This window comes from Homo sapiens, chromosome 2 (genome assembly GCF_000001405.40).
Source record: "Homo sapiens chromosome 2, GRCh38.p14 Primary Assembly".
Classification (NCBI taxonomy): Eukaryota; Metazoa; Chordata; class Mammalia; order Primates; family Hominidae; genus Homo; species Homo sapiens.
The window spans coordinates 86,880,036-86,902,146 of record NC_000002.12 but is presented as its reverse complement, the minus strand read 5'-3'; the positions used below and the strand labels follow the sequence as shown (position 1 = coordinate 86,902,146).

The window sequence follows — 22,111 nt, the reverse complement described above, 5'->3', positions numbered from 1 at the left end:
CAAACCACTTTTCTCCAGGCTTCCTAACTTGGTAAATCCAGGTACCTTCCCAGGTCGTTCAGAGAATTCAGAGCCTCCTTCCACATCACCTTTCCCCAGCCCAGCAGCACAAAACCAATCAGCTGACAAACTCATTTCCACCTCTCAAGGCCTCTCATATTAATCCCTCCTTTCCACACATATACTGCCCTAGCTCAGACCCTCTTCATACTTCTTAAACTGACACAGACAACCTCACTTGGAGGCTAACTGGTCTCCTTATCTTGAATCCCAAAATACACCTATTTACAACACAGATCCAAAACCTCGTAACTCCTTTCTCAAAATCCTGTAATGCCCTGTCAATTGCATTCAGAAGAAAACCACCTTTTCATCCTTTCTCCCTTTAAGAGCACATTAGTAAGAGTGTAAATCCCAGTTCTACCACTTAGTAGGTTTATTTCATTTGTAACCTCTATCTCATTTGTAAAAAAAAGAATCATAGTACTATCTTCTCAATAAAGCTGTTCTAAGGAAATAATTATTACCAATAAAGCACTGAGAACAATGCCTAGCACATAGAAAATGCTCAAAAAAGGTTATTATTGTTATCCAAACCCTATCCTGCCTCACCCTACAGACTACTTGTACTTTTATAAGTATTTATTCTACAGATTTATTCAGTCCTTATGACTAGGAGATGAAGATACAAATATCCATTAAAAAATGTTCCGCATTATCTGGCCTTCCTGCCTGTGCCTGTGTGGTTTCTCCTTGCCCTGAATGCTCCTTTCTACCTACAGATATCCTACTCATCCCCAAGGTCCAAACGAAGACTGACATGTCTCTCAGAGATGAGGCTTTGATTTTGCCATGTCCTCCCATTGGATGTTATCTTCCCATCAGTCAATCAACGATGGTACTCTCTTTTCCACATTACTGAGTCATGAGTCTTTCTTAAATTCTAATTTCTTATGCAGACAGTACATCAACTCCACACGATTGTGAGATCCCTAGATGGAAAAGAATGTATCATTTCCATCTCTCCAGCACCTTCAAAAAGTATCACATACATCACAAGGGAGGTCAGCGTATGTTAACTGAATCACTTCTGTTTGAAAACATTTATTCTGCAAGTAGAAACTAAAATTAAGTTAACCATGGAAAGAACTAATATTTAACCAAACTTCTTTAAAAAATGTTAACTTTTTGGCAGCACCTAGTCCTTTTCTTACCTCGTCCAATGATCCAAGGAGTTTACTAAGAGGCTTTGGAGCACTAACGCCATCAAGTGGAGTACTGGGCTGAGGCATTGTGTTGGACATCGTCAGAGAGGGAGCTGGCAGTCCAGGAATAAAAACCTTTCCCACCTTTAAGCAATAAAAACATGTGGAAAAAAAAAATACTGCCTTTAATGCATCACATCCTTAAATAAAATGTTAAGGAATATAAACATATATTTCTTTTGATATTTCTAAGTTTATTCTCACCAAACACAGCAAAGAAACAATTCAAATGTCAATAATCTATTGAATTCCACTATCCAACTGCAAATATGTTGGTATAATTTCTTTTTTTTTTTTTGAGATAAGATCTCACTCTTTCCCTGTGGCTGGAGTACAGTGGCATGATCTCAGCTCACTGCAGCCTCAACCTACCAGGCTCAAGTGATCCTCCCACTTCAGCCTCCTGAGTAGCTGGAACTACAGGCACATGCCACTATGCCTGGTTAATTTTGTATTTTTTGGTAGAGACAGGGTTTCACCATGTTATCCAGGCTGGTCTTGAACTTCTGGGCTGAAGCCATCTGCCCACCTAGACCTCTCATACCTTGGTATAATTTCTCTTGGTTGGATTCCTTCTCTTCATTACTGAAGACTTTTTTGGAAGGCAAGGAGAGGAATGTTAATATAGTCAACACATTATATAAAAATCTGTACACTATGTACTCTTCTACCTTATTGGTCATAAAGACAGTAAGAACAGCGGCCAGGCGCGGTGGCCCACGCCTGTAATCCTAACACTTTGGGAAGCCGAGGCAGGCGGATCACAAGGTCAGGAGTTCAAGAGCATCCTGCCTAACACAGTGAAACCCCATCTCTACTAAAAATTAAAAAAAAAAAATTAGCCGGGCATGGTGGCAGGCACCTGTAGTCCCAGCTACTCTGAGGCTGAGGCAGGAGAATGGTGTGAACCCAGCAGGCGGAACTTGCAGTGAGCCGAGATCGCGCCACTGCACTCCAGCCCGGGCAACAAGAATGAAACTCTGTCTCAAAAAAAAAAAAAAGAATGAGTTGACAATCCGTGCTAACCACTCCTTATTTTGGCTATCTGTAGGGTACTTAGCAAAAACAGAAATTCACATCTGTACAGGCTGAAAACTTGATAAGACTAAAAAGGAGATGCTCAGAACTAAAATGAGATCTTAACAACGTACATATTCATGTTAACACACTACTCAACAGCTAACAAAATAACAGAAGTTGCCCCAATAAAATCCTTAGGCTTAAAAAACAAAATAACAGTGAGAACTAATTATGCATAATTTTTTAAAAGCTATCTCAAACCCCTAATTTACGAAAAGATGGAATAAGCACATACCATGCTATTCCCTCATTAATCACCAGAAAGAAAAAAAACTGAATAAAATTTATAATGCAACTAACAGAGGATTCTGAAAAAGTGAAGAAAAGAAGACAAACTGGCTAGTAACCTGAGACCCAGGAATGACCTAATGATGAATTTCCTAGGTTTCTGGTTTTTTTGACTCCTTACATAACCAGGCCTCAGGCTTTCAAAGTGCCTATAACACAGACATGCCAACGTTCACAGACAAAACACGCCCTAAGAAAATCTTACTCTTTCCAGCCAAAGTGTTGGGAAAAGAATGACCGACCAGGACAGAAACTTTTCACTATATCTGCCCTACTTTTTGCAAACACCAAGAAAAAAGTCATGGCCGTCCCTTCCTCCTCATCAGGAGGCACAGTGAAAATTTTGAATGTCCCTCGTCTATTTGAGGAAGTCCCCTTCTATTTCTCGATGCTGAGGATTTTTTTTCATCACGGATATTTGATTTTATCAAATGATTTCTCTGCATCTATTTAGATCCTTGGTCAGCAAACCATGTTCCATGACCAAATCTGGCTTGTATCCCATTTTTGTACAGTCTGTGAGCTAAGAATAGGTTTTATGTACTTAAATGGTTAAGGAAAAAAAAAAACAGAAGACAAATATGTAACAGAGACTGCATGCGGCCCATAGAGGCTAAGATACTTGTCTGAACTCCTACATAAAAAGTTTGCCAGGCTGGATGTGGTGGCTCATGTCTGTAATATCCCAGCACTTTGGGAGGCTGAGGTGGGAGGATCGCTTGAGTCAGGAGGTCATGGGTGCAGTGAGCTGTGATCCCACCACTGCACTCCAGCCTGAGTAACAGAACGAGATACTGTATCGAAAAAGAAGAAAAGAAATTGCCAAGGTTGGAGAGGACATGAACAACATTATCAACCAAATGGAATGAACTGACATTTACAAAATACTCAAGGGTGCCTTCTTGGTGATTTGGCCCTTTAAAGTCTCTCTTTGTTCCTGGTCATTTTTTTTTTCCCACTTTATAGCGACTCCAGCTATCTTTTGATTACTGTTTGCATAATATATCTTCTTTCCATCCTTTAACTTACCTATGTCATTATATTTGAAGAACACTTCTTATAACCAACATATATAGTTGGGCTGTATTTTCTAATCTCTTCTGCTAGTCTCTGTTATTTGTGTTAGACCATTGTATTTAATTAGTGGCCTAGTGGGATTTAAATCTGCCATTTAATGTTTGTTTTCTGTATGTTCCCACTTTCTTTGCTCATCCAGAAGAAGCAACTCTTCAAGTTTGATCATAAGATTTTGGCAATTCTGTTCAAGTTTGGCAATTCTGTTCAGGTTTAATCATAAGATCTTGGCAATTTAGTCACATCTTCAGGCTCTACTTCTAATTCTAATTCTCTTGCTATTTCCACCACATCTGCAGTGACTTCCTCCACTGAAGTTTTGAGCCCCTCAAAGTCACCCATGAGGGTTGGAATCAACTTCTTCCAAATTCCTGTTTATGTTGATATTTTGTCCTCCTCCCATGAATCATGAATATTCTTAATGGCATCTAGAAAGGTGAATCCTTTCCAGAAGGTTTTTTTTTTTTTTTGAGATGGAGTCTCCCTCTGTCGCCCAGGCTGGAGTGCAGTGGCGCAATCTTGGCTCACTGCAAGCTCTGCCTCCTGGGTTCACACCAGTCTCCTGCCTCAGCCTCCCGAGTAGCTGGAACTACAGGCACCCGCCACCACACCCGGCTAATTTTTTGTACTTTTAGTAGACACAGGGTTTCACTGTGTTAGCCAGGATGGTCTCGATCTCCTGACCTCGTGATCCACCTGCCTCGGCCTCCCAAAGTGCTAGGATTACAGGTGTGAGCTGCCACACCCGGCCCAGAAGGTTTTCAATGGACTTTGCCAGATCTCTTAGAGGAATCACTATCTATGGCAGCTCTAGTTAAGTAATGTATTTCATAGTAAGACTTGAAAGTCAAAATTACTCCTTCACAGGCTGCAGAACAGATGTGTCAGCAGGCATGAAAACAACATTCATCTCCTGTACATCTCCCTCAGAGCTCTTAGATGACCAGGTGCACTGTCAATGAGCGGTAATATTTTGAAAGGAATCTTTTTTCCGAGCAATACGTCTCAACAGTGGGCTTAACACATTCAGTAAACCATGCTATAAACAGGTGTGCTGCCATCCAGTCTTTGTCGCTCCATTTATAGAGCCCAGGCAGAGCAGACTTGGCATAATTCTTAAGGGCCCTAAGACTTTTGGAATGGTAAATGAGCACTGGCTTCAACTTTAAGTCACCAGCTGCATTAGCCCCTAACAAGAGGGTCAGACTGTCCTTTGAAGCCAGGCACTGACTTCTCCTCTCAGGTTATGAAAGTCCTAGATGGCATCTTCTTCCAACAGAAAGCTGTTTCATCCACACTGAAAATCTGTTTAGTGTAGCCACCTGCATCAATTATCTTAGCAGCTTCTACATCAGCACATGCTGCTTCACCTTCCACTTTTGTGTTATGGGGAGGGCTTTTTTCCTTAAACCTCAAGAATCAACCTCTGTTTGCTTACAACTTTTCGTCTGCAGCTTCTTCACCTTTCTTGGCCGTCACAGAATTGAAGAGAGTTAGGGCCTTGCTGTGGATTCGACTTCAGCATAAGGGAATGTTATGGCTGGTTTGATCTTCTGTCCAGACACTAAAACTTTCTTCATATCAGCGATAAGGCTGTTTCGCTTTATCAGTTGCCATGTTCACTGAAATAGCACTTTTAATTTCCTTCGAGAGCTTTTCCTCTGCATGCGCAAGTTGGCTCTTGTGCACAGGTGGTCTGGCTCTCGACCTATCTCAGCTTTCAACACGCCTTCCTCACGAAGCTTAATCATTTCTAGTTTTTGATGTAAAGTGAGAAACTTGTGATTCTGCCCTTCATTTGAAAACTTAGAGGCCATTACAGGGTTACTAATTGGTCTAATTTCAATATTGTTTTGTCTCAGGATATAGTGAGGCAGGAGGAGAGAGAGAGACAGGAAAGGGGTCAAATGATCAGGCAGACCACACAAAACATTTATCAATTAAGTTCCTCATCTTATATGGGTACAGTTCGTGGTGCCCCAAAAGAATTCTAATAGTAACATCAAAGACCACTGATCACAGGTCACCATAACAGATAAACTAATAACAAAAAGGTTTGAAATACTGCAAGAATTATCAATATTTGAAACAGTGACACAAAATGAGCACATGCTGCTGGAAAAATGGCACCAACAGACTTGCTCAACACAAAGTTGCCACAAACCTTCAATCTGTAAAAAAAAAAATGCAGTATCTGTGAAGTACAATAAAGCAAAGCACAAAATGAGGTACGATGGAATACTATTGAATATATACATCACACTGAATGAGTAAACAACAGTACGCATCAACACAGACAAATCTAAAACAAATATAATGTTGAGCAAAATAAGTACATCAGAGGCGAGTACATGGTATTTTTTATATAAAAATTCAAAAACAAGGAAAACTAAATAATGCATTCTTTAGTGATACATACATAACTGTAAAAACTAGTAATACAAACAACTGATTTATCACAAAATCAGGATTCTGTCTATCTCGAGGGCAGGGGAAGATAGGATGCAATCAGAAAAGAATGTAATAAAAATAAGGATACTGGCAATATTCTATTTCTTAACCAGAGTACTGGGTAGATGAATATTCACTTCATTATTATTATTCAAATTGTATGTATTTAAATTTCATAATTTAAATTTGTAAAATGTATATTCTCTATGTACATTTCACAAATGTTAAAAAAATACAGCTAACAGCTGGGCGCGGTGGCTCACGCCTGTAATCCCAGCACTTTGGGAGGCCGAGGCGGGTGGATCACGAGGTCAGGAGATCGAGACCACCCTGGCTAACACGGTGAAACCCCATCTCTACTAAAAATACAAAAAATTAGCCAGGCTTGGTGGCGGGCGCCTGTAGTCCCAGCTACCCGGGAGGCTGAGGCAGGAGAATAGTGTGAACCCGGGAGGCGGAGCTTGCAGTGAGCCGAGATCACCCTGGGCAACAGAGCGAGACTCCATCTCAAAAAAAAAAAAAATACAGCTAACATACACCACATTTAATATAGTGAAACTTTACCAAAACTTTAGTACTTACCAAAGGTACCCATGCTTCAATTTCAAAGGTACCCATGCTTCAATTTCAAAACTAGTTTAACTTTAAAAAAAAAAAAAAATCTACCTATACTCATTGAAGGTTTCCCATCTGTGACAGGTTTAGAGTACCAATGCATTTAATAGCAGTGAGCCATAGCCCTCCAAATTAGGACCCACCTAAATGGGAAGCTTCACTGAGAATTATTAACAAAATTCTTCTGCCAAATTGTGCAGACAGGAACATAACAAATTTAAAATATCAATCTAAAGTAACTTTACAAATATTCATGCAGGCAGCCTGAAGTCCTACTAAAGGCATGAAGTGCTACTTATTGCTTACCCGAACCACTCCTGTGTATAGCACCAGGTTTCCACTGCCTTCCAAGACCAGCATGGTGTCTATTTTCTTTAAAAAAAAAAAAAAAGACTAAAAATTTATTTCCCGATTTGAGCAAATTAATAGATTTTTTGACTGAAAAATCTGATGAAGCGTAATTGTCAACTTCTCAAATGTGCCTACATTACCTCCACTGGTGCTGCATCCTTCGCTGGTATGTTGGTCACTGAAACAAAGATGAGCTGGGTTTTATCATTACTCTCTTGAAACTTTACACAGCTAAATAATAAAATAAAAAGAAACTTGATACATGCAACAACCTGTATGGGTATTAAAAGTATTATGCTGAACAGAAAAAGACAATCTCAAAAGTTTACATACTGTATGAGCCCATTTATAAAACATTCACAAATGCCAAATTATCAAGATGGAGAATTAGTGGTTACCAGGATCAGTGGGTAATGGTGTATGTGACTATAAGGAGTTAACGTAAGACAGATAAAGATGTTTTGTATCTTGATTGTGGTGGTATTTACACACATCTACATATGTGAAAAAACTGCATAGAACCATACATACACATAAATGAGTACATGTCAAATTGATGAAATTTGAAATAAAGTGTGTACATCATCTATCTCCTGGTTATGATAATGTATTATAGTTGTACAAGAGGTTACCTGTGAGGGAAAAAGAATGCAAGGTACACAGGACTTGTTTACTATTTTGTAACTTCCTGTGATCTATCGTATTTCAAAATATGAAGGTAAATAAATGGGCAAAAGATCTGAATAGATATTTTACCTAAGAAGATAAATGAATGGCTAATAACTTCATGAGATGATCAACATCAGAATGCATTAGAGAAAAGCAAATTAAAGCCATTTCACAACCACTGGAAAATAGCTACAATCAAAGAGTGTGATGATATCCAATCCTGTCAAGGATAAAGAGACATTAACCTTCATATTTTGCTGGTGGGAATATAAAATGATACAGGCTATTTGGAAAACAGTTTGGTGATTTCTTAAAAAGTTAAATATGAATTTACCATTCAACCCAATGACCCAATCCTAGGCATTTACTCAAGAAAAATAAAATCACATATGTCCACATTTTTGCTCAAGACCTTTGTTCAAATGTTCATACTGTCCTAATTCTCAGCAGTCAAGAGGTGGAAATAAACCAAAAGTCCATCAGCTGATGAACAGATAAACAAAACATGGTGGTAGATCTATACAATGGACTATTACATAGCAATAGGTATGAAATAATGATACATGTTACAAAACGGTGGATCCTAAAAACATCACGCTAAGTGAAAGCTAAACACAAAAAGCTACACTGTGTGTACATACATTATATATATATAAATGTCCAGAAAAACTCATCTATAAAGGCAGAAGCCTAGCATGGTTGCCTGAGGCTGGAAATGGGAACAAGACTGACTACAAACAAGCACAAGGAAATCTTTTTATGGTGATATAAATCTTGTAAAATTGGGTCATGGTGATGGTTGTATAACACTGTAATTTACTAAAAATCATTTAATTGTACAGTTAAAACATGTTAATTTTATGACATGTAAATTATTTCTAAATAAAACTACTTAAGCCAAAAAAAAGGAAAGAAAAGAAAAAGAAAAAGCAATGCTGAGTTATTTATACAGAAACAATGGGAAATACATACACCTACCATAACTGGAGCTGGGACTCCACTGAAAAGCACAGGAAATTTGCCCACATAGGTCAGATGTAATAAACACTTTTGAGGCTTGTGAATTTTTCTCTCTATAATAGATACATCAATAAAGTAACTGTCAGCACTGGTCCAAGAATCTACCACAGTAACTATTAAAAGTCTTTGAGGCCGGGCGCGGTGGCTCACACCTGTAATCCCAACACTTTGGGAGGCCGAGGCGGGCAGATCACGAGGTCAGGAGATCCAGACTATCCTGGCTAACACGGTGAAATCCCGTCTCTACTAAAAATACAAAATAAATTAGCCAGGCATGATGGCGGGCGCCTGTGGTCACAGCTACTCTGGAGGCTGAGGCAGGAGAATGGCATGAACCCAGGAGGCGGGGCTTGCAGTAAGCCAAGATCGCGCCAGTGCACTCCAGCCTGGGCGACAGAGCCAGACTCCGTCTCAAAAAGAGAGAGAAAAAAAAAAAAAGTCTTTGAAAATATTCTGCAAGAAATCTAAAAACTACTTAGGTCAAGCAATAATCTCAAAGACACAAACATTTCTAAGAATTAAACTTCATGATCTCTAAGATCCTTTCAGTTCTTTGATTATGAGCTCATTACACAGCTTTGCTGGGGAAAGCTACAATAAATTTAACAATTACTGATGAACTTTTAAATTACATACTATCTAAGCTCCCTACTTGTAATGCAAACTAAGCCACCTACTTGTAAAGTAATGCATGCAAACTTGAATTCCTATCCCGCAAAGGGCCAGATCTTTCATAATGCTGTTTCTCCTATCTACCCCCTCTCCTTCTCAGATTAGACCTCATTCACATCTCTTTTTGAAATTGTATCTCTAATTCCCAAACCCTTCCTTCTAAAGTGTACAGAAGGCCGGGTGTGGTGGCTCACGCCTGTAATCCCAGCACTTTGGGAGGCCGAGGCGGGCAGATCACCTGAGGTCAGGAGTTCAAGACCAGCCTGACCAACATGGAGAAACCCCGTCTCTACTAAAAATACAAAATTAGCCAGTAATCCTGTAATCCCAGCTACTCGGGAGGCTGAGGCAGAAGAATCAATTGAACCTGGGAGGCAGAGGTTGTGGTGAGCCGAGATCGGGCCATTGCACTCCAGCCCGGGCAACAAGAGCGAAACTCTATCTCAAAAAATAAATAAATAAATAAATAAATAAATAAATAAAGTGCTACAGAAGACCCATAAATCTAAAAAATAAGAGTCTATAATATATTCAACTTACAAATAAGTTATTTAAAGAAAAATGATCTATAATTGTAGGATACTTTTATTTGATATATGAGAAACAAGCCAGAGAGACTACTTCAACATTGTATCCACATCTTTACTTTCTTCAGACTACCTATCCCCCATTTCATTCTCTCTAAGATTATGCATTTGCCTTCCATTTCAGATAAAATGAGGCTCTAAGGCTTGAGCTCAACCTCCTGCCTTACGTATCTGATCAACCTTCACTTCTTTATCCCAACGCTAATCTCACCACTTGTGCACCTTTCTGGTTACTTGTTCCATCAATCGTTTCCTCTCTTCTGTATTTTCAATACTTTCCCTTGAGTATAGTCCGTATAGCCTACTATTTCACATTAAAAGTCTTAAAATATAAAATAGACTCAACATTAGAGTATATAAAAGACCTTCTCAATTTGACTGGATATAAAACTTGTATTGTGGTTAGGTAAGAAAATATTGGGGGCCAGGCACAGTGGCTCACACCTGTAATCCCATTACTTTGGGAGGCAGAGGCAAGCAGGTTGCTTGAGCCCAGGAGTTTGAGACCAGCCTGGGCATCACGGCAAAATCCTTTCTCTACAAAAATTAGTCAGGCGTGGCGGTGTGTGCCTATAGTCCCAGCTACCTGGGAGGCTGAGGTTGGGGAATCACCTGAGCCCAGAAGGCCAAGGCTGCAGTGAGCTGTGATTGAGTCACTCACTGTACTCTAACCTGGGTGACAGAGTGAGACCCTGTCTCAAAAAAAAAAAGAAAAAGAAAATACTGGGGCAAGATGTCATGAAAACTAATTTTATTATAGTTCAGCAAAAACAAAACTCTCCTTGACCAAGACTCCCTCTAATTTTGTATCTTCATTCCTATTCAAAGGCAAACTCCTTAAAGAGTCTGTATGCCTATGTTCATTTCCTCAGTCCCCATTTACTTTTTCTACCCCACTTTCCCCCGCCACCCTCCCAGCTTAAAATGCTCTGGCCAAGGTCACCAAGGAACCCACTGCCACCCAGGTACCTCCTCTCTGGGTTCAACTCTCAGGGCCACACTTCACCAGTACCTGGCAATACTGGCATCTCTGTATTCTTGAAATGTTCTTTTTTGTATTCTGTATTTCCTGCTGCTTCTCCCATCTGACTTCTTTTGCTTTGTCTCTCTGCGCCAGCTTTGTCTCTTTCCATTCCCCAAATCTTAAGTTTCCAGGACTTCAGTTCCTAGCCCTCTTCTAATTCTACACCACTGGATTTTAACTATTTGGAGGCCACAAATCCCTTTGAGAATCTAAGGACTGTTAAAACCCTCTCCTTGGGAAAAGGCCTATATACTACATGTACACACAATTATTGAATACAATAATTCTTCAATTCTAATCTAATTCTCTTACCTCAATCACCACTTATAAGCTGACAATTCCACATTTATTGTTCTGCTGTTTCCCAAACTTCCGACACACTTATGAAGTGCCTTCTTACCGCTGTCATCAAACAGACCAGAGGCCTAAAGGGCAATCAGTAATCTCTCAAGCCTCCTTTTTTTTTTTTTTTTTTTTTTTTCAGACAGTCTCACTCTGTCACCCAAGCTGGAGTACAGTGGTGTGCTCTTGGCTCACTGCAACCTCCAACTCCCAGGTTCAAATGACTCTCTCACCTCAGCCTCCAGAGTAGCTGGGACTACAGATGCACGCCATCATGCCTGGCTAATTTTTGTATTTGTAGTAGACATGGGGTTTCACCATGTTGGGCAGGTTGGTCTTGAACTCCTGAGCTCAAGTGATCCATCTGCCTCAGCCTCCCAAAGTGAGTGATTACAGGTGTGAGCCACTGCACCTAGGAAGCCTCCTCTTCATTAGCCTTTTCCCTCCCCTCTGCAAAAACCAGAGTGGGAGTATTTATAATTCCCTAAATACACCACGCACTCACCAGAACTTTTGTTCTGATCCCAGCTGCCGTCTGTGGTCTTTCTAAACTTACCTGCCTAGCAAATACCTGTTCATTTTTCAAAGCCCTACCAGCAAAAGTAGTCCCTCCTGTGTCACCATCCTTCAGCTATCTGCCTCTTTTGAGGACAGGGACAGTGACTTATTAGACTGTTAACTAGCACACACATTGGCATATAAATTAACACGTGAATTATTAAAGAGAATATAAAAGAAGAAAGGTCACCCAGAACAGAGATCTAAGCTATGTTTCCCAAAAAGTAAAGCTGGCACTCAACTAACATGAACATAAAACTTAGGAAACGTGCTAAAAAACCCACATTTCCTCACGGATAGAAATTAACTGTTTCTCCCCAGAACAAAAAACACCTGAAAAATGAGAGATTATTACTATAAAGGAAGAAATATCAGATGACAAAATAATATTTTTATGATGACTTTTTTTTTTGAGATAGTCTCACTCTGTCACCCAGGCTGGAGTGCAGTGGCACGATCTCAGCTCACTGCAAGCTCAGCCTCCTGGGTTCAAGCAATTCTGCCTCAGCCACCTGAGTAGCTGGGATTACAAGTATGCACCACCACACCCAGTTAATTTTTGTATTTTTAGTAGAGACAGGGTTTCACAATGTTGGCCAGGCTGGTCTCGAACTCCTAGGCTCAAGTGATCTACCAGCTTCAGCCTCCCAAAGTGCTGGGATTACAGGCATGAACCACCACGTCCAGCCTATGATCACTTTAATCTCATTAATATCCTCTACTGAAACTGAGGTGGCCTTAATACATATCTCTATATATTTTTACATATATTAATAACTGATCACATTAAAAGGAAACTTTAAACAAAATGCCATATATTTCCCAAGACTTTCAGCAACATTTTTCTTTGAATATAATAATATATATAACAAACCTTATATTAGTAATCGTTTCTGTCCACAAATGGTCAATACACAGTTCAGGAACAATTGGCTCCGTTTCTGGTGCAAGAAAGAAGCCATTAGACTTACTATTTGGAGAATGAGAAATACTATGTCTCTTTGGAGACTGATTATGGCTTGAAATGTTGAACCTTTGCACCCCTGAAAAAGAGTGCACTCCTAAGGCAGGAGAATGAGCACGACTGCAAAAGAAACAGAGGAGAGAGTACATCACAGTTAGCAGGGCAGGCTTATATGACACACACTCCAATGACACTTCCCAAAATTCCACAGACAGAAGAGCATTCATGGCATAATCCAGGTCAGAAATTAAAATTTTTCAAAAAGGAGTAGCTATTTAAATGGTTCATGTCAATGTGCTTTACTATATTCTAAAGATTTAGAATTATTATTAGAAGAACTCATCTTTTACAACTAAAACTTAGATCATCTTCTTTTTCGGAAAATGAATGATTATTCAAAAAGCTCTAAACTATGTCCCTGTATAGTCAGACATATATATATCAACAAAACAATGTCCCTGTAGCACCAGATATACATATCTGGTGATTTAAATAAATATCTATATAGAGAAATAGATACATTTAGATATCAAATAACAAGAAAAAAAAGAAAAACTAACATAAATTAAGGCAAAAATAAAATAGTGCCACAATATTTTGGGAATTAATATTCATCAAACTGTTGCCCACATAGTGGTAGAAATGAGGCAACTAACCTTAGGACAAGCATAGGCAGCTTCAAAATATGACTCAGGAAAGAATGTGACATGGTAAACTTAGAAATCTTAGTAAAACTGGCTCAGGGCTGAGCACGGTGGCTCACGCCTGTAATCCCCACACTTTGGGAGGCCGAGGTGGGCGGATCACAAGGTCAGGAGATCGAGACCATCCTGGCTAACACGGTGAAACCCCATCTCTACTAAAAATACAAAAAAAAAAAAACTTAGCCAGGCGTGGTGGCAGGCGCCTGTAGTCCCAGCTGGAGGCTGAGGCAGGAGAATGGCATGAACCCGGGAGGCGGAGTTTGCAGTGAGCCAAGATTGCGCCACTGCACTCCAGCCTGGGTGACACAGCAAGACTCCGTCTCAAAAAAAAAAAAAAAAAAAAAAAAGGTCTCAATTGGGATAATGGCTATTTCCCCTAAAAAAAACTCCCCTAAATATATTTCCCCTAAAAACAGCTGTCAACAGCAATTCTAAATCCTTCAAAACAAAACAGAAAGCTTAGAAAGAAAAACCAGGAAACCCTTCTACCTTAGAGCTGCCATGTTGGAAATAGAAGGTGAGCGAGAATGTAGACTGGGTGATGAGGTTGAGCGACTCTGGCTGTGAATGGAGGAGTAATTCCGGAAAGGTGAAATCACAGGGGAATCTCCTTTGGAGAGGCTTCTGAGATGTGCTGTGAGGGAGCTGCTAGTGGCCACATTCCGTGGGGTTCCCCCATGTTCAGAGAACTTTAAAACAACATTCTCTTCCTTAAGTCAAAATAAAGAGAAAGAGGAAAAAAAAACAATAATTAGAATAAAATAGCAATTTCCTTGTAAGAATGCAAGTTGAAGTCAGTTACTAAAGACACAGTATTTCTTCTTTCCTAAGAAGCTCAATCTATTTCTCAAATGAGGCCAGGTGCCGTGGCTTACATCTATAATCCCAGCACTTTGGGAGGGTGAGGCGAGAGGATAGCTTGAGCCAAGGAATTCAAGACCAGCCTGGGCAACATAGCAAGATCCCATCTCTACAAAAAATTAAAAATTAGCTGGGAGTGGTGGTACACACTTGTAGTCCTAGCTACTCGGAAGGCTGAGGCAGGAGGATCACTTGAGCTCAGGAGTTCAAGGCTGCAGTGAACTGTAATTGTGCCATTATGCTTCAGCCTGGGTGACAGAGTGAGGCCCTGTCTCTAGAGATGATGATGATGATGATGATGATGATGATGATGATAATAATAATAAAACAACTATTCACAAGTGATTTTTCCAAAAAAAAAATGTGAGGGTATGAAGTATTAACTACTCTTTCATATATATATATACACACACACACATATATATACACATATATATACATATATACATACACATATATACATATATACATACATATATATATACACATATACATACATATATATACGCACACATATATATACATACATATATATATATACACACACACACATACATTTTTTTTTTTTTGAGATGGAGTCTCATTCTGTCACCCAGGCTGGAGTGCAGTGGCACGATCTTGGCTCACTGCAACCTACACCTTCCAGGTTCAAGTGATTCTCCTGCCTCAGCCTCCCGAGTAGATAGGATTACAGAAGCCACCACACCTGGCTAATTTTTTATATTTTTGGTATAGATGGGGTTTCACCACGTTGGCCAGGCTGGTCTTGAACGTCCTGACCTCAAGTGATCCGCCTGCCTTGGCCTCCCAAAGTGCTAGGATTACAGGTGTGAGCCAGTGCACCCAGCCTACCCTTTCCTGTTAAGGAGAAGTGACTTGCCTTTCTCCTTACCTCTGATTTGACTCTCCGGAGAGTCCACACAGAATGCACATTTTGAACAGCATCATAAGTCATTACAATAGAGGGGTCAGTATTGAGGAAAACAATTTTCATTGCATGATCTACAACATATTGCACCCGTAATGAACCAAAAAGACCTTAAAAATAAAATAGAAAAATCAGGTATAGAACAACGGGCTTTACAAGACTGATATTTATGAACGGAGCTCTTAAAATTGTTAAAGATAAAGAACAACCAAGCCAAAGAGAGCACGAAATCTATTACTATCTTAAATAATTAACTCTGAATTTTTAATAAATTTACTTTAGGCATCAACTTCCTTAAAATACATTAAAGATGAGAGCATTACAAGTTTTAGCTTCACATACATGCTGTTGCTAAATGTTAAGATTTGTGCTGACTCTCACCATTACACGAATCAGCCACAGGTAAAAGGTCGATGATTTCTTCAACTGACTTATTTATAAATTGCACTCAACTATTCTGCCAAGTTTGACTTCCTTATTGGTTCTGTTCTTCTGTATGAAAGCTGTACTCTATAATTACTATTCAGACAGTGCCGAACAGTACACTGTTGTTTCTGCTTTACTAGTTACACATGCAAAATAAGGTTTTTCCCAGTGAGTTCAGCTTTTAATCTAAAGTACCATGGACTGGTCTCCATATCCTTATTTGACAGGAAATGTTTCCCATTCAGTTAAAATATTGAAAAATTTTAAAATATGATTTTATAATCATAAGAAATACTTTATAAATAAAAATCATGCCACCATCTCAAAATATCTACTATTAATACATTAGAGAATTTTTGTTTTTTTCATACATATATACACACTTTATACATTTTTACAAAATTATAATCATACTGTGTTAAAGTTTTGTATCCTACTTGACATTACAAATAAGCAACTTCTAGTTCACTAAATATTATTCAAAAATATGATCAATAATGGCTGCACTCCTCCCTCCAGTCCGTGCCTCCAAGAAGACAAAGAAAAGAAGGAACAACAATCGTGCCAAAAAGGGGCGCAGCCACATGCAGCCTATTCGTTGCACAAACTGTGCCTGACGCGTGCCCAAGGACAAGGCCATTAAGAAATTCATCATTCGAGGCTGGGCACGGTGGCTAACGCCTGTAATCCCAGCACTTCGGGAGGCTGAGGCAGGCGGATCACGAGGTCAGGAGATCGAGACCATCCTGACTAACACAGTGAAACCCCGTCTCTACTAAAATAAAAAAATTAGCGGGTCGTGGTGGCGGGCCCCTGTAGTCCCAGCTACTCGGGAGGCTGAGGGAGGAGAATGGTGTGAACCTGGGAGGTGGAGCTTGCAGTGAGCCCAGATCCCGCCACTGCACTCCAGCCTGGGCAACAGAGTGAGACTCTGTCTCAAAAAAAAAAAAAAAGAAATTAATTCATCATTCGAAATGTGGTGGAGGCTGCAGCAGTCAGGGACATTTCTGAAGCGAGTGTCTTCAATGCCTATGTGCTTCCCAAGCTGTATGGGAAGCTAAATTACTGTGTGAGATGTGCAATTCACAGAAAAGTCATCAGGAATCCACCTTGTAAAGCCCACAAGGACCAAACACACCCACCCCGATTTAGACCTTCGAGGAGTGCTGCCCCACAACCCCCACCAAAGCCCATGTAAGGAGCTGAGTCCTTAAACACTGAAGACAAGGCGAGGCGTGGTGGCTCATGTCTGTAATCCTAGCACTTTGGGAGGCCGAGGTGGGTGGATTGCCTGAGCTCAGGAGTTCGAGATCAGCCTGGGCAACAGGGTGAAACCCCATCTCTACTAAAATACAAAAAGTTAGCTGGGCATGATGGCACACCCCTGATCCCAGCTACTAGGGAGGCTGAGACAGGAGAATCGCTTGAACCTGGGAGGCGGAGGCTGCAGTGAGCTGTGATCGTGCCATTGCACTGCAGCCTGGTAACAAAGCGAGACTCCGTCTCAAAAAAAACAAAATGAAAATAAAAAGATTGAAGACAGACTATTCTCCAGAGAAAAAATAAAATGGAAATTGTACTTAAAAAAAAAAAAAAAAAAGGCTGCATGCCATTTAATCCCAGGCCCTAGTATGTTTATTCGGGTTGTCTGCAATTAGTAACAACATAAAATTTGAACTTTTTCTGTAAAAGATCAAAGACTAAATAGTGCAGTTTGCTGTCCACATACTGACTCTATCACATAATCTTTGTTATTTCCTACAACCCTTTAAAAGGTAAAAACCATTCTTATGTTGGGTGCGGTGGCTCATGATGTAATCCCAGCACTTTGGGAGGCCGAGGTGGGTGGATCACCTGAGGTCAGGAGTTCAAGACCAGCCTGACCAACATGGTGAAACTATGTCTCTACTAAAAATACAAAATTAGCTGAGTGTGGTGGCACACGCCTGTAATCCCAGCTACTTGGGAGGCTGAAGCAAGACAATCGCTTGAACCCAGGAGGCAGAGGTTGCAGTGAGCCAAGATCGCACCATTGTATTCTGGCCTGGGCACAAGAGCAAAACTCTGTCTTAAAAAACAAAAAAAAAACAAAACAAACAAACAAACAAAAAAAAACCATTCTTAGCTCACAAGTTTTACAAAAACATGCTGCAGGCCAGATTTAGCCCATGGCCTGCAGTCTGCCAAGACATAATATAGAAGATAAAAAGCAGCTGGGCACGGTGGCTCACCCCTGTAATCCCAGAACTTTGGGAGGCCGAGGTGGGTGGATCACCTGAAGTCAGGAGTTCAATACCAGCCTGGCTAACATGATGAAACCCCGTCTGCACCAAAAATATAAAAAATTAGCCAGGCACGGTGGCGTGTGCCTGAAATCCCAGCTACTCGGGAGGCTGAGGCAGGATAATCACTTGAACTCGGGAGGCAGAGGTTACAGTGAGCTGAGATCGCGCCACTGCACACCAGCCTGGGCCACAGAGCAAGACCCCTCTCAAAAAAAAAAACCCAAAACAACAACAAAAAATAAACTTTACTTCATCCAAGTATCATTCATTTACTTATTAACTATTAAAGAACAAAGCATCTACAGGTAGGTTAATAAATATATCGGTATTCCTCACTGATTTATATACCTTATTTTTACTAAAATAACTGTTGAGCAGTTAATACCATGATATTCAAGAAATTCAAAATAGAAGTTATTTTTGTGAAATGTTTACATTACATTATTTTTATAAGTCAGTTTTCATATAAGCGCCTTTATAATCTCCCTCACCAAAGTCAAAAAAAAAACAAAAACAAAAGAGCTTATCTAAAAGAATATAGAAGCACACTTACTTCCAGATTTACAAACAAGTGGAGTTATTTCATCTAGTGGGTGCAGCATGCTGAACATAGTGGGTAAAGATTCTCTAGCAATAAACAAATAATCAATTAATTACCAATACGAGTATGTCTGTGCACAAATTTTGCACTTCTATTGAAAAGAAATCTCCAGATTACACGAGCAACTAGAAACCTACTATCTCAAAATGCAATCTTCTGAACTTTGTACATACTATTTTTCACATTGTCTTCTATTTCATTCCTAGAAATCTCTCCCCTGAGAGTAATTCTATCAATGCACCAACAGAGGAAAATCAATATAGTCCAGAGAATTTCTGCAAACAGCAGTCATCACAGTACAGAACAAATGGAGTAATGTGTATAAAGCAGTCTTTTTTTATTGACCTCTCTTACTGGCAGTGTGTCCCATACCTGCTGACAAAGGAATGCATTTTTTAAAAAAGGAAGAAACAAACTACTTCAAGTAAATTAAGTCTGCTTTTTTTTTTTTTTTTTTTTGAGATGGAGTCTCACTCTGTTGCCCAGGCTAGAGTGCAGGGGCATGATCTCGGCTCACTGCAACCTCCACCTCCCAGGTTCAAGCGATTCTCCTGTCTCAACCTCCCGAGTAGTTGGGATTACAGGCACACACCACCACGCCCAGCTAGTTTTTTTGTATTTTTAGTAGAGACGGGCTTTCACCATGTTGGCCAGGCTGCTCTCGAACTCCTGACCTCAGGTGATCCACTTGCCTCGGCCTCCCAAAGTGCTGGGATTACAGGCGTGGGCCACCGTACCTGGCCAAATCTTTTTTGAAGCCATTTATTTGCATATTCAATTTTACCACTTAGATTGGGAAAAAAGGCTAATTAAGTGCCAAGTGCGTAGAGCTCATGAGTATACTTACAGGCTGAGTATCCCTTATCTGAAATACTTGGGACCATAAGTGTTTTGGATTATTTACCTTACACTAACAGTTGAGCAGCCCTAATTCTTTTGGGGGTACAAGTGGCTTTTGGTGACACAGAATTATGTAGTGGTGAATTCTGAGATTTTAGTGCACCTGTCACCTGAGTAGTGTATGTTGTACGCAACATGTAGTTTGTTTATCCCACACCTTCTTCCCACCCTCCTCCTTCTGAGTCTCCAAAGTCCATCATAACACTCTGTATATAGCCTCTGCATACTCCTTGCTTAGCTCTCACTTGGAAGTGAGAACATGCAGTATTTGGTTTTCCATTCCTGGGTTACTTCACTTAGAATTATGGCCTCCAGTTTCATCCAGCCTGATGCAAAAGACATTATTTCATTTCCTCGTTATGGCTGATTAGTATTCCATGGTGTATATATACATTTTCTTTATTCACTCATTGGTCAATGGGCACTTAGGCTGCTTCCTTGTCTTTGCAATTGTGAATTGTGCTGCAATAAACATACATGTGCATGTATCTTTTTCATATAATGACTTTTTTTCCTTTGGGTAGATACCCAGTAATGGGACTGCTAGATTGAATGGTAGACGTACTTTTAGTTCTTTAACGAATCTCCATACTGTTTTCCATAGATGTCATACTAATTATGTTCCCACCAGCAGTGTATAAGCATTCCCCTTCCACCACATCCATGCCAACATCTATTGTTTTTCTGACTCTTTAATAATGGCCATTCCTTAAAGAGTAAGGTGAGATCTCACTGTGGTTTTCATTTGTGTTTCTCTGATGATTAGTGATATTGAGCAGTTTCATGTTTGTTGGCCATTTGTATATCTTCTTTTGAGAACTGTCTACTCATGTCCTTTACCCACTTTTTGAGCTTCTGTCTTGCTGATCTGAGTTCCTTATATATTCTGGATACTAGTGCTTTGTTGGATGCACAGTTTGCAAATATTTTCTCCCACTGTGTGAACTATCTGTCTATTCTGACATTTCTTCTGCTGTGCAGAAGCTTTTTATTTTAATCAGGTCCCATTTATTTATTGTTTTTGTTGCATTTGCTTCTGTTGTTTTAGTCATAAATTCTTCGCCTAGGCCAATGTCCAGAAGAGTTTTTCCAAGGTTATCTTCTGGAATTTTTATGGTTTCAGGGCTTAAAGCCTTTGATCCCTCTTGAACTGACTTTTGTATAAGGTGAGAGATAAAAAAATCCAATTTCATTCTTCTAAAAAAGGTATCAGTTTTCCCAGCACCATTTACTAAATAAGATGTCCTTCCCCCAATTTATGTTTTTGTATGCTTGTTTGTCAAAGATCAAATACTTGATTACAAGTATTTGGCTTTATTTCTGGTTTCTCTATTCTGTTCCATTGGTCTATGTGCCTACTTTTATACCAGTACCATGCTGTTTTGGTAATTATAGCCTTGCAGTATATGTGATGGCTACATACTTGTTCTTTTTGCTTAGGATTGTTTTGGCTATTTTGGGCTCTTTTGGTTCCATATGAATTTTAGAATTGTTTTTTCTAACTCTATTAAAAAAAAGATCGTATTTTGATGAGAATTATGGTGAAATGTATAGATTGCTTTTGGCGGGATGATCATTTTCACAATATGGATTCTTCAAATCCATGATCATGGGATGTGTTACCATTTGTTTGTGTCATCTGTGATTTCTTTCAGCAGTGTTTTGTAGTTCTCCTTATAGAGATGATTCACCTCCTTGGTTAAGCGTATTCATAGGTTTTTGTTTTTGGCTTTTTGCTGCTCCTATAAAAGTGATTGAATTTCTGGCCAGGTGCGGTGGCTCATGCCTATAATCCCAGCACTTTGGGAGGCCAAGGTGGGCGGATCACCTGAGGTCGGGAGTTCGAGACCAGCATGACTAACATGGAGAAACCCCGTCTCTACTAAAAATACAAAAAATTAGCCAGGCGTGGTGGTGCATGCCTGTAATCCCAGTTACTCAGGAGGCTGAAGCAGGAGAATCACTTGAACCTGGGAGGCAGAGCTTGTGGTGAGCCGAGATCATGCCACTGCACTCCAGACTGGGCAACAAGAGCAAAACTCCGTCTCGAAAAAAAAGAGACTGAGTTCTTGATTTGATTTTCAGCTTTGTCATTGTTGTTGTATTGCGGTGCTATTGATTTGTGTGCACTGATTTTGTAATCTGAGACTTTACTGAATTTATTTATCAAATCTAGGGGTCTTTTGGAGGAGTCTATAGGGTTTTCTAGGTATATAATCATATTATCAGCAAATAGTGATAGTATGACTTCCTCTTTTCAAATCTGGATGTCCTTTATTTCTTTCACTTGCCTCATTGCTCTGGCCAGAACTTCCAGTACTATGCTGAATAGAAGTGGTGAAAGTAGGCATCTTAGTCTTCTTCCAGTTCTCAGGGGGAATGCTTTCAACTTTTCCCCATTCAGTATGATGTTGGCTGTGGGTTTGTTGTATATGACTTTTATTAA

The 22,111-nt window shown here is 39.8% G+C and overlaps 1 pseudogene across 1 annotated transcript in view; it reads right to left on the bottom strand.

Moving 5' to 3' along the window:
* ANAPC1P1 (ANAPC1 pseudogene 1) overlaps positions 1-22,111 on the bottom strand; it is a 51,192-nt pseudogene that overhangs the window by 10,832 nt on the left and 18,249 nt on the right. Inside the window, exons 8-16 of the transcript NR_037931.2 lie at positions 18,718-18,791; positions 15,418-15,563; positions 14,154-14,374; positions 12,968-13,080; positions 8,966-9,059; positions 8,772-8,866; positions 7,265-7,302; positions 7,080-7,145; positions 1,215-1,349 (exon numbers count right to left, since the gene is read on the bottom strand). The product of NR_037931.2 is annotated as an ANAPC1 pseudogene 1 (transcript). The remainder of the gene's footprint in view (positions 1-1,214; positions 1,350-7,079; positions 7,146-7,264; positions 7,303-8,771; positions 8,867-8,965; positions 9,060-12,967; positions 13,081-14,153; positions 14,375-15,417; positions 15,564-18,717; positions 18,792-22,111) is intronic.